The sequence below is a fragment of the Homo sapiens genome, chromosome 12, assembly GCF_000001405.40.
Source record: "Homo sapiens chromosome 12, GRCh38.p14 Primary Assembly".
NCBI lineage: Eukaryota > Metazoa > Chordata > Mammalia > Primates > Hominidae > Homo > Homo sapiens.
The window spans coordinates 9,262,970-9,275,099 of NC_000012.12; the positions used below are offsets into that span (position 1 = coordinate 9,262,970).

At 38.1% G+C, this 12,130-nt stretch overlaps 1 pseudogene across 1 annotated transcript in view; it reads right to left on the bottom strand.

Annotated features, from left to right (window-relative positions):
- The window catches only part of A2MP1 (alpha-2-macroglobulin pseudogene 1), a 45,821-nt pseudogene extending 34,442 nt beyond the window's left edge, over positions 1-11,379 (bottom strand). The window contains exons 1-8 of the transcript NR_199634.1: positions 11,270-11,379; positions 10,702-10,722; positions 10,080-10,248; positions 8,600-8,684; positions 7,401-7,524; positions 5,030-5,144; positions 2,672-2,781; positions 737-895 (exon numbers count right to left, since the gene is read on the bottom strand). The product of NR_199634.1 is annotated as an alpha-2-macroglobulin pseudogene 1, transcript variant 2 (transcript). The remainder of the gene's footprint in view (positions 1-736; positions 896-2,671; positions 2,782-5,029; positions 5,145-7,400; positions 7,525-8,599; positions 8,685-10,079; positions 10,249-10,701; positions 10,723-11,269) is intronic.
- Between the last annotated feature and the right edge of the window lie 751 nt (positions 11,380-12,130).

Below are 12,130 nucleotides of genomic sequence, written 5' to 3' on the forward strand. Positions count from 1 at the left end.
TATTCATTCACAAACAAGGTCAATTACTTTCTCTTAACACGCTATGGCTGCAAATTGCATAAGAACATTTGAATATTCAACACAAAACAAAATAGTAGTATGCCAAAGAAACCAAGCAAGATCTTACTTGTATTAGAATCATAAAAATATTCAATTTTTCAAAGGAATATCAAGATGATCTATTCAATGTCTCTTGAACCTAAATCATATTGTCAACAGAGTTTACCTACAAGTAAAAGATTTCTGGCAGACTTTTCTCTTTTTATAATTTAGGTCTCCATATTGCTTAATTTACATTTTACTCTTTTATTTTATTTTATTTTATTTTTTGAGATGGAGTCTTGCTCTGCCTCCCAGGCTGGAGTGCAGTGGCGCGATCTCGGCTCACTGCAAGCTCCACCTCCCGGGTTCATGCCATTCTCCTACCTCAGCCTCTGGAGTAGCTGGGACTACAGGCGCCCGCCACCACGCCCGGCTAATTTTTTTGTATTTTTAGTAGAGACGGGTTTCACCGCATTAGCCAGGATGGTCTCCATCTCCTGACCTCGTGATCCACCCACCTCGGCCTCCCAAAGTGCTTGGATTACAGGCATGAGCCACTGTGCCCGGCCTACATTTTACTCTTTATCACTTTTTTTTTAATTCCTAGAGTTCACATGCCTCTCAAATATCTTTAAATTATCTCTGGCCACAGTAATTTCTCTATTTTTGGTCCCAGATGCCCCTTTCCACTTACTGAAACTGTGAGAAAAGGTGATATGTAGTTGGTGGTGTCCATGGAAATGTTCACCAAACCATGCTCATCAGTAGTTGCACTGAAATAGTATCTAGTATTCACATGAACATCTACAGTTTTGTTGGTGATTGGCTGATGGTTTTCATTGACTAGAAGAACCTAGAGATATAAAAGTCATAGCTGGTTAAATTGTCATATGGCAATAACATCTTCCACTCCGTCACATTTACCGCCAGGTCACTCCCTGTCATTTACTGAAGATCTTAGAATCTGAAAACGAGACTTGTTTTCTGAGCTCTAAACTATGATTTTTCTTTTTAATACTTCTTTTTAAAAATTATTTTGAAAGCTAAATGGCAGTTTATTTTCCATTATTATTCTAAATTCACAAATCATAATTATATACATTTCCTGGGTACAATGTGATGTTTTGATATATGTATACAACGTGGAATGATTAAATATACTAACATATATATCACGTCACTTACCACTTTTTCAGATGAGACATTTATAATTTATTATTTTGAAATGTACAATATATTATTACTGACTATAATTATCCTGTTATGCAATACATCTCAAAATCTTGAATAGTTCTATTTGGATATCTCATGGGGACTCAAATTGAGAACATCCAAAAGTGGGATCATCACACTACCTTCCCAAACTTTCTCCACTTCCACTGTTCTCTCTTTCAGTATATGGGTCTTCCATCTATCAGGTAACTGACGCAGGAATACTGAGGAATTGGGTTTTTTTTAATGAGTCATTTTCTTTCACTGCTTATCTCAAACTCATTGTCAAGTGCTATCTCCTCTCCCCATCTCCCATCAAATATATATTGATTCTATCTGCTTCTCTCCAAATCTGCTGCTACCATTCTAGTTAAAATCACATTTTTTCCCATCTGGTTTCCAGTAGCTATTTAATCTTCTGCATTTCCTTGCTGCTTCATTCTTGTCTAAACCATTCTATACATCCTGAGCTAACCTGATCATGTTACTCTCTTTCTTAAAACCATTAGTCACTTCTCAATCCAAAATTCTTACCATATCTTAAAAGACCTTAATAACTGTTCTTGCTTGCCTGCAATTATTCAGTGAATTCGGTCATGTCTTTAACCTTAGCTGTCATCACACTGGCTGCTTTTTAGTTCTTTGCTCTTGAAAAACTGTTTCATACCCAGAGCCTTAGACATTCTCCCTTTTATCTTACATTTCTGACCATGTCATACTCACCTTTCAAGTCATCAGTTTTTCTCATGATCTTCTCTCTACCTGAAATGGCCATATGAAACTATATCTATATAGTTATTAATTTCTTGATAATTTAATATGAAATACTAGGATAAATGAAGAAAATGTAAAATTCAAGTATAAAATATCAAATATAAAATTCAAAATACAGCTTGAAGCATTTGCCCATGAACTGTTAATTCAAAGATTATTTACTACAAAATATAATTTAAAATACCTAGAAATCTTGCATCTCTTATATGAAAGAAAATGGATAGTTTACTAAATTATTGGCTCTAAAATGTATCAATATTGGTATCTATATGAAACTTTGAAATGGAAAACAACTTTAAAAACTACCAGTAATAAAAAATTCAATCATCTAGATGAAAGAATGTGTTTGAATTCTTCCTATAAAAATTATGTTACAAAATCATTGTTTATAAAGAGACAATCAAAGAGTATGCAGCTGAACTACACAAATGTATTACAGAGGTGTGTTAGGAAGTTAATAAAACATGCTTTGTTTTTCTGGATTTTGTGATTATATTTGCTTTTTAAATTATAATCTGCTGTACTTTTTTCCTATTTGAAATATTATTTTTTTAAATAAATTTTGATTTTGTGATTTAAAACTTCATTTTCTTAAAAACCTCATGCCCCAAATTGTGATTATGTTAAAAACATTTTTTTTTACCTGTCCATACCAGGGGAGTCCACTTCTGTAATGTGAATCTACTTTAGTAAATCTCAGTATCCTTAAGGTATCTGTGATTTCATATGATCCATGCCCAGTTAATTCCAATCCTGAAAAATAAATGAAGTTGAACCATTCTATGTATTAAAAACTCACCTCCTACTTCCTCCTCAGCCTCACTTCATCATAACAAAATACCATCCACATTCTCTTTTCTTTATTCTTGCCAGTTTCCCACATTTACAAGCTATTTGACCAGCAACTGGACATTAGCTTCACCTTCACATGAAACATTATTGGTATCCATCATCCCTCATTCCTCTGGTTTTCCACCTATGTTCTTTATTTTCTCAACTCCTCTGTGATCTTGCTCCATCTTTGTTTTTCCCTCTCTCACATCCCTGCTCTCCCTCCACAACTTTCTGTACATGGTTGGATTCTTCACAATCACACTGGCCCAAAATATGCTTGAATTTCTAATACAAACTTTATTTCCAGAAAGACCTGTCGTTTCCCTGCGTGAGCTATCCAAAGGATAGTGAACACCTGGTGCTTTTCCATTCAATGATGTGTACTCTGTATCTTGTTCTTATCAAAAACACAGTGCTATCAAATTCTTAAAAGATTCCCTACTTGCCCTCCATATCGAATTCTCATCTCAGACTTCATTGTACATGAACTCTCGGTAGTACTCCACACTAAGTACCACTGAAACTCTTCCTTCCAGGGGCTTCTAAAAAATTATCCTCGTTGTTTTTGCCCCAGCTCTCTGGCTTCTTATTTAATTATGCTGATTTATTTGTTACTGTCTATCTCCTAAATGCAGTTGTTTCTGTCCTTGGACGCCTCTTTGTCCTGTCTCTATCCTAAATTTAGCAGTGCTAAATGAGCTCACTTTCAGAGCATTTGCACTCACTATTTTTTTTTTTTTTTTTTTTTGGGACGGAGTCTCACTCTGTCGCCCAGGCTGGAGTGCAGTGGCGCGATCTCCGCTCACTGCAAGCTCCGCCTCCCGGGTTCACGCCATTCTCCTGCCTCAGCCTCCCGAGTAGCTGGGACTACAGGCGCCCGCCACCACGCCCGGCTAATTTTGTTGTATTTTTAGTAGAGACGGGGTTTCACCGTGTTTTGCCAGGATGGTCTCGATCTCCTGACCTCGTGATCCGTCCGCCTTGGCCTCCCAAAGTGCTGGGATTACAGGCGTGAGCCACCGCGCCCGGCCGCACTCACTCTTAAGAGGACATAGACACAACGAGAATGGATTTAGATTTACATTTCTGGTCCTAATTTAACTCTGGCTCTGTTTTAAAATTATCAGCTAAATACATCCACTTCCGTTTTGATATTCCAAGCTGTAGTTATCTTTAACATTGGCCTGGCGCGGTGGCTCACACCTGTAATCCCAGCACTTTGGAAGGCCAAGGCGGGCGGATCACTTGAGGTCGGGAGTTTGAGACCAGCCTGACCAACATGGAGAAACCCTGTCTCTACTAAAAGTACAAAATTAGCCGGGCGTGGTGGCGCATGCCTGTAATCCCAGCTACTCAGGAGGCTGAGGCAGGAGAATCACTTGAACCTGGGAGGTGGAGGTTGCAGTGAGCCGACATCGAGTTATTACACTCTAGCCTGGGCAAGGAGCGAAACTCCATCTCAAAAAAAAAAAATTATTTTTAACACATCTCATCATAACAGTTCTTTTTCATTGACTCATTATCTTGGTTAATGGTATTTCCATTTCCCAGGCCCCAAATTTGGAATCTTTGGGGTCACCTTTGACTAATCGTCTGACGTACCACATGGTAGCACATTTTTTCATCTAGCCTATCCTCTTCAGGTCTGCTAGACTTACCTTTTAAGAATATCAATTTATTTAGACGATTCTTCTCAAATATATTGAAAGATATCCAAGCTTTTCAGAATAAATTTAAACTCTTTAGTGTATGATTTACTTTTCTCCACAGCTTAGCACCAGCCTCCATTTTCAGATTCTTCTGAGATCATAGTTTTTGATGCTTATCACGTTTTCCCTTTCCATCATTAATCTTTCAAAGTATTACCTACCCTATATAAATCAGTTGAAATGCTATTTTAGCAATAAGGTTTTCTTTGGGCTCTAGAAGGTATACTAGAATTAATTACCTCTCTTCATACTCACTTGGCCCTTTTTTGTATTTCTTGCAGAAATTTTATTATGGCTATGTGCACACACACACTTAATTTCTATTTTTAGGTGCCTAATTCCTTGAGGGCAGGGACCGTGTTATTTTCATAATCTCCAGAAACTATAAAGTGTTTTACATGGAATGGAAGTTTGATAAATATGTATCACATTAATAAATATTTAAAAATAATACAAACCGGTTCCCTCCTCTTTGACCTTCGCTTTGACATGTATCGTCATGTCATACTCTTTTTGTCTCAGCTGAAATATTTTAGTGTTTACAAGTTGTGTGAAACATCCTTCAGTGTCTGCCTGAAGAGAAAGAAAGAGAATTCTCAGGTCTTCCAATTTGCTACTTAAAAAGTCAGCTGTCAATTTATGAGAATTTTTTTACTGGCCATAAAAATAAATGTAACAAATGTTCTGACCATTCTTTTGGTGCTTATCTTTTCCCAAGCCCAAGAATGACATAAAGTTTCTTCGTTCATCATTGATTTATTCATTATCAACCTTTGGCTTCTCCCCTCTCTTCTGAAAACTGATTCCATTTCTGCCATATTCAACTTTCTAGAGTTTCCAAACGTGCCATGGTATTTCATAATTCTATCTCTATGCATGTGTTGTTCCTCAAATGATAATTCTCTTTTTCCCATTCTTACCGTAGCCAACAGTTAGGCTCCTCAAAACTTAACTCAGACATAACATATTCTGAGAAGGCTTTCATTCCTATAAATATTGACTAAGGATTGCTATGTTTTGTTTTGTTTTTTTTTCTTTTTTTGAGTCAGAGTCTCACTCTGTCACCCAGGCTAGAGTGCAGTGGCCATGATCATGGCTCACTGCAGCCTCAACCTCCTGGGCTCAAGTGATCCTCCTACCTCAGCCTCCCGAGTGGTTGGGACGACAGGTATGTGCCACCACACCTGGCTGATATTTTATTTTTTATAGGGGCAGGGGTCTCACTATATTGCACAGGTTGGTCTCAAACTCCTGGGCTCAAGCGATTTTCTCACCTCAGCCTCTCAAAGTGCTGGGATTACAGGTGTAAGCCACTGCACCCAGCCAGGATTGTTATGTTCTTAACTGTATATTCTCAATATCTAGGATATTAATAGGAATATATACATTTATTAAATAGATGAATCCTCACCATAACCAAGTTTTCAAACTAAATGTTGGGGTACATGTTTTAATAAAGATTTGTTTTCATTTTAAATTTATTTATAAGAAAATCTTTATTGCATAATAAATTTAATCATATTAATTTATTTTTATATAGATGTATGTCATGACTCACTTGAAAACAGAAGTTAATACTAGTCTCCCTGATACATTACAGATTTGGGCAGCTAGATTCCTCTTATAGTATCTTGCTTGTCAGTGTCTGCCTTGGTGTTCATTATTATATTCGTTACTCTGGCCTCTCATTCATTTGCTCTCTGCAGCTTTGATAACTTTCTTTTCCATACCCTTGAGGTAAGAGGTGGGACTCAACTTTGGAAGCAGGTCTCAGACACCGGACCAAATTGAGAACTTACTAAAACAGGGATGCAGGGTGGCTGCTTTCCATTAGACGTGCCTACCAGTGTGCCATGTCAGTTTACCATTGCCGTGGCGACACCCGAAGTTAATGCCTCTTTCCATGGCAATGGCCTGACAACCCAGAAGTTACCACTTTTTCCTGGAAATTTCTGCATAATCTGCCTCTTAATTTCCATGTAACTAAAATGGGTGTAAATATGACTGCAGTACTCCCTTTGAGCTGCTACTATGGGCACACTGCTTATGGGGTAGCCCTGCTCTGCAAGGAACAGTACCTCTGCTGCTGCTGTACGCTGCTGCTTCAATAAACGTTGCTGTCTCTAACACCTCTGGCTTGCCCTTGAATTCTTTCCTGGGTGAAGAAAAGAACCCTCTTGGGCTAAAACCCCATTTGGGAGCTTACCTGCCCTGCGTCACCCTTACAGGGTCTGCTCATACTGCCACACCCTGGACTTTTTACATACTCTGCCTCTGGAATCAGTAATTTTTGCCTTTTATTTTTTAATACATCACATTCTACTTTCAGCTGTTCCCCTTAATTATTCTTATTCCACTTCTTCCTTGACGTGTTTTGGGCATCTAATCCATTGTCCTTGGAAGCCTTCCTTCCTTCAGCCTTATACTGGTTTAACATTCCTCCAGCGCAGTTTACTTTCCACGACATTCCATTTGATTCTCCCACTAGCCAAATTCTTAACACCTGCCACACACATTTTTCTGTTTTCTGTTTGATAAAAGACAACTCTGGATCCTTCCACATCCTTTTATGCCCTTATATCTGGCATTTGGATTGCCGTTGGAAGGACATTACCAAACTAACCAGATAAATACCACTAGATACCCACGAGCCCAACCCTCAAGTGAGCCCCCAACACTGCCAGACCATCTTACAATTTTCCCCCACTCCACCATTTTGCTTGATGGGTATTTCAAACACTATTCTCTGTTGTATTGTATTCACTATTGTAATCCATGAGAAGAGAAAACCTTGGTATTAGTGTCCTGAGGAGAGTGGTTTCCACATACCTGTTGATTGAATTCTTCACAGATACTTTGTGAATGTGTGTTGTGGCAGTCGGAACGGCATAGTGAATATCTTCTGCATACACTAAGTGTCACCAGACCAGGGACAGGCTCTCCATATGTGTACCTATAACAATAAGGTGGCCATGCGAAAAGCTACTTAATGGAAATAATACTGATGTTTCTTCAACTGACTTGATCCTTTCATACATCCACCTTAAGCTGTTGTATTACCTTCCATATTATTTCCATTTTATAAACCCTTCTTCTGAAAGGCCGTGTCTTAATTGTCCATAACTCTCAGAAAAAGTACTGGAAGAATCTTTTTGAAACAGCTCCAAATGGAAAATTACCAATTTAGTTTTTCTCAGATCTTTCTTCCCTCTTAGTTGCGGTTTTACTATAAGATGGTCCTATTTCCCTCTTTCTCTGCTGTCAGATTATCTAGGTCATGATTCCAGCTTTGACAACACCTCCTACATTGTCTTAGGGCAACATATTAAGACTATGTAGAGAGTGTATTTCTGAGTTCTCCTTGATTTATAGGTACTTTAAGAAAATAAATGTGAAGTTAGATGGAAAAGTAGTAGCTATAAAACAAAAATGTTGTATCATGACTCAGTTTGATTCTGCCTAATATGATAGAAGGAAATGACACAAAGCCATAACTAATTTGTTGTCTCTCAAAACGTGTTTTGTGGACCACCAGCATTGAAACGATCTGGGATACATGTTGACATGCAGATTTCTGAGACTTTCCTCAGATGTATGATTGGAATCTTTGGACATGGGGCCAGAGAATCTGCATTTGAAGTAAGCACACTCCCCACCCCATAGATTCTGTTGAACACTGACGTTTGAAACCTATTGCTTTAGCCCAAATGATGGGGCAGATAAGGTGTAGGGTCAGTTCCCCAAGCTTCTCCTTTTTATAGGATTACTTACAGAATAAAAATATTAGTACACACAAGCCAATTAGAACATTGTCTGGCCCATTTTAAATGTCCAGTAAATGATTTTATGATTAGCAGATGTGTGTCATCTGCTACTGTACCTGCTCCCTACTGTGAGCTTAGGCAAGCTACAAAGAGAGGTATTCCTCTCCTAATTAAAACACTTCCAACTTCAGTAACTGTTATTTACAATACCTCCCCTCAGATAGAGTACAGAAATAGAAATGAGATGAAAAAAATGCAACTCACAAGGCACAGGTTGTTATCACAAATTCTTCATCTAGAAAACCAATAACCTTGGGCATTTTTACTTGGACCTCAAATTTAGGCAAAACTGTTTTGATAAAAAAGAAAAAAAAAGGTGAGAGTGGGCCAGAGATCTTACAAGTATTGGTAGTAGATGCTATGACAGAACCTTTAACATGTGGTCACATGAAATGACTTCAGCTACAACAGGGAGCCCAGGGACAATACTGAGAAGGAGAAGCCATTCATTACCATGAGCAGTTTGTACTATGTTCACTTGGTTAACTTGATAATACATTCCCTAGACTCTCTTTCTCTGAATTTGTGCCAGATTTCCCAGATAGAGGGAAGGCAGCATGATTAGTCCCTGAAGATCATCACAGTTAGATGTGGTAAAGAGGGACCAATAGGTTTCAATGTATTCTTATTCTTTCCCTCCCTAGGCCCAGCTCTTCTTCCCAAATGCCAGCCCTGCTGACTAACAGAGGTCTGAGGCCCATCATCTGACACCTGGCTATAAGCCTACTAAAGTGGTAGCTATGCAGAGTGCAGAGGTAATAATCTTCCACAGATTCTTCTGTCAGCTCCTCTGCATGGTTGGTGCACTTGGGCAGCTGAGGGTCCCTCGCTTCCCAGACCTTTGCAAGCTCACATTTATACACCCCTAATCATGCTTCAGAACTGGCTAGTAATTTTCTCTCACCTGTCAACTCCTCCTGATGGCCTCTTACTTTTCTAGCTTCTCTCACAGTTTTGTAAGGTGTTATTCCTACAATATAATACTATTCTGTGATTTTGATGGCAGTTCTGACGAGTTTTGGGAACCATGTTTTGTGATAGGACTTCTCAGCCATGGCATAAAATATTTAATTTACATTACAAAATCCACATAACTGATAACTAATAAGATGGCTTCAATGTCTGACTTAGTAATCAACTATGGTTGAGTACTGACTAGATCAATTGTGTTAAAGTTTAGTTGACTACCATACTTAGTTGAACTATAGTTTAGTTGATTACTAAATTATATGGTTTAGGAATCATAGTTGATTAGAGTAGTATAGGTGTAGGTTATAGACAACCATAAAATAATCCCTGGAAATACTTTCAGTTATAAAATATAAAAAACATACATAGTGTATGTAGCTGACACAATGTATTGGTTAACAATTTATGTTTGAGTATCAATTCAAATCTTTCCTACCCCTTAATGACTCTGTGATTTTTTTAAGTTACTAACTTTTCCAGTACTGATATGCTCATTTGCAAAATGGGAATAATAATAGTATCTGTCCCAGAGGGGCATTGTGAGAATTAAATGAGGTAGTACATAAAAAGCACTTAGCAAATATATGGGTAAATTTAAAAGCTTGCTAATTTTCAACTATTGTATGCTAGACCTTTGATTCTTACCTATATGTAAAAATTATCTAATCTTAAATACTCTGACGTTATAAATGCCTTACACATAGAGCATTCTTACCATATTCATTCATCTCAAATGAGTGCTGTATTTTCTTCCCTGACTCTCTCTGCAGCATGATCTTGTGGGAACCCAGAATGGGCTCCACTGATAGCGGGAAAGAGAGTTGGTTGAGTCCCCCTTGCAATTTGAGACTTTGCCTTTGGAAAATTTGGTTCTTCCTGGGGTCCTATAGGTAAAAATATTATGAGTTCATAGAAACAATTGAAATATATACCTTTGAGTAGAAGGGCAGCTTTGCGGGTAAGAACGACATAGGCAGCTGTATCACAGATGGTTGGTAAATTGGCCCAAAGGTATTAGCAAAGTTTTATAGGAATTCCAACCTGAGATAAGGGCAATAAGTTTACTAGCTATGAGATATTACAGATAACATTTCGTACTGATGCCTCTTTTTGGTATTATGTATATTTATTTTGGTCAGAAATATTGGATGAGTCACTAAATTGCATCATCTCAAGAAATGTTCCTGCATTTACATGTTATCCACTTAGAATTTAAAGTGGACAGAAAAACAGTATTTGTTTAGCTTTGGTGAAATGGTGAGGGAAGGGAGAGAGGCAATTTAATGTAACTTGTAGAGAGTCCTCATTCCAGTTGTAATGTACAACATACCACTTACCTCAATATAAACCACCGGAAACTGAAAAGAAAAAAAGATAGTATGAGCACATGGTAGAATATAGAAGGAGAAAACCATGACACCAGCACTGACAGAGTATATGGGCCAGAGAAAGTAAGTCTCTATATTCCAAATGAGGAAATACCCCATTTGGTTCACAGCACTTTGTATGTTTAGTTTGGGACATACATCTTTCACGAAGTCATGACTTTCCTATTGTTAAATAACATACAATTGAGGAAACCTATTTAGATAAAAAGGTCCGAATAATAAGTTTATTATTATTTCACAGATTATATTTGTTTAAGAGGGAAATCAAATTCACACATTTATTCAATGAAAGTAACTGGAATCTTTAAGAGGACAGCTTCAACTGCATACTGAATTCATTTTAAGAATGCAGTTTATGGAGTGCCTTGATTCTGACATCCCTTATTCTTCTAGCAGAGATACCCTTATGAGATCTTCATGTGGTGGGCTTAAAATACCTCTTTAACTGGTCTCAAGTTTCCCAAAAGAATAGGCCTTCCTTTTTCCCTCAGCCATCACCCATCATTACGAGACTCACCATTTCATCCAAAGGGTGGAAATTGACATCCATAGAGACAACACGGAATTTCACTGAAACAGAGGTATTTTCCTGTGAAATCACCCCGTGGAGCCTGGGGTAGTAATAGCATGCCTGAATTCCCAGGATTGCAGAATAAAGTAATAAAGAAGCTCCTCCCCTCTCCCAAAGTTCCCCTTGCTCATTTGATTCCTCATACCTGTTTGTCCTGGTTTGTATATGGGTTTGTCTGTCTGGACAAAGACTAGGTTCTCTGCTGTAGTTATATATATTGATTTGCTCTTTGTGAAATGCAGAGTTGCCCCCTCTACCTCCACAGCAATGACCACCCAGGAAGATGGTAATTCTGGAATCTGTAAAACAGAAATGAGCTGAAGAATCTGCCCAGACTTACTTCTGAATTTCTCAGCCATTAGGAGTTTCTGTCTTCCTGGTTAGTCCCTGAGAATTAGTAAGGGACAAAGTCAAGGATAATGCTCCTTGTCTTAAAAGTAGATTATTATGATGTTGTAACATGACAGTAACATGATTGAAGGAGAAAATATTGCAATAAAATGAGCTAATTCTTCAAGCCAGTTATGACTGAAATGGGATGCTTGCATTTTCACAGCAAAATGGTGATATTAAAATAATTATTAAATTTTATTTTTCAAAGGTCAACAACATTATATATTATCTGGCCAGGCACGGTGGCTCATGCCTATAGTCCCAGCACTTCGGGAGGCCAAGGTGGGCAGATTGCTTGAGCCCAGGAGTTCAAGACCAGCCTGGGAACCATAGTGAGACCCCCACCTCTACAGAAAATCAAAAAATCATCCAGGCATGGTGGTGCCTATCTATAGTCCCAGTTACTCAGGAGGC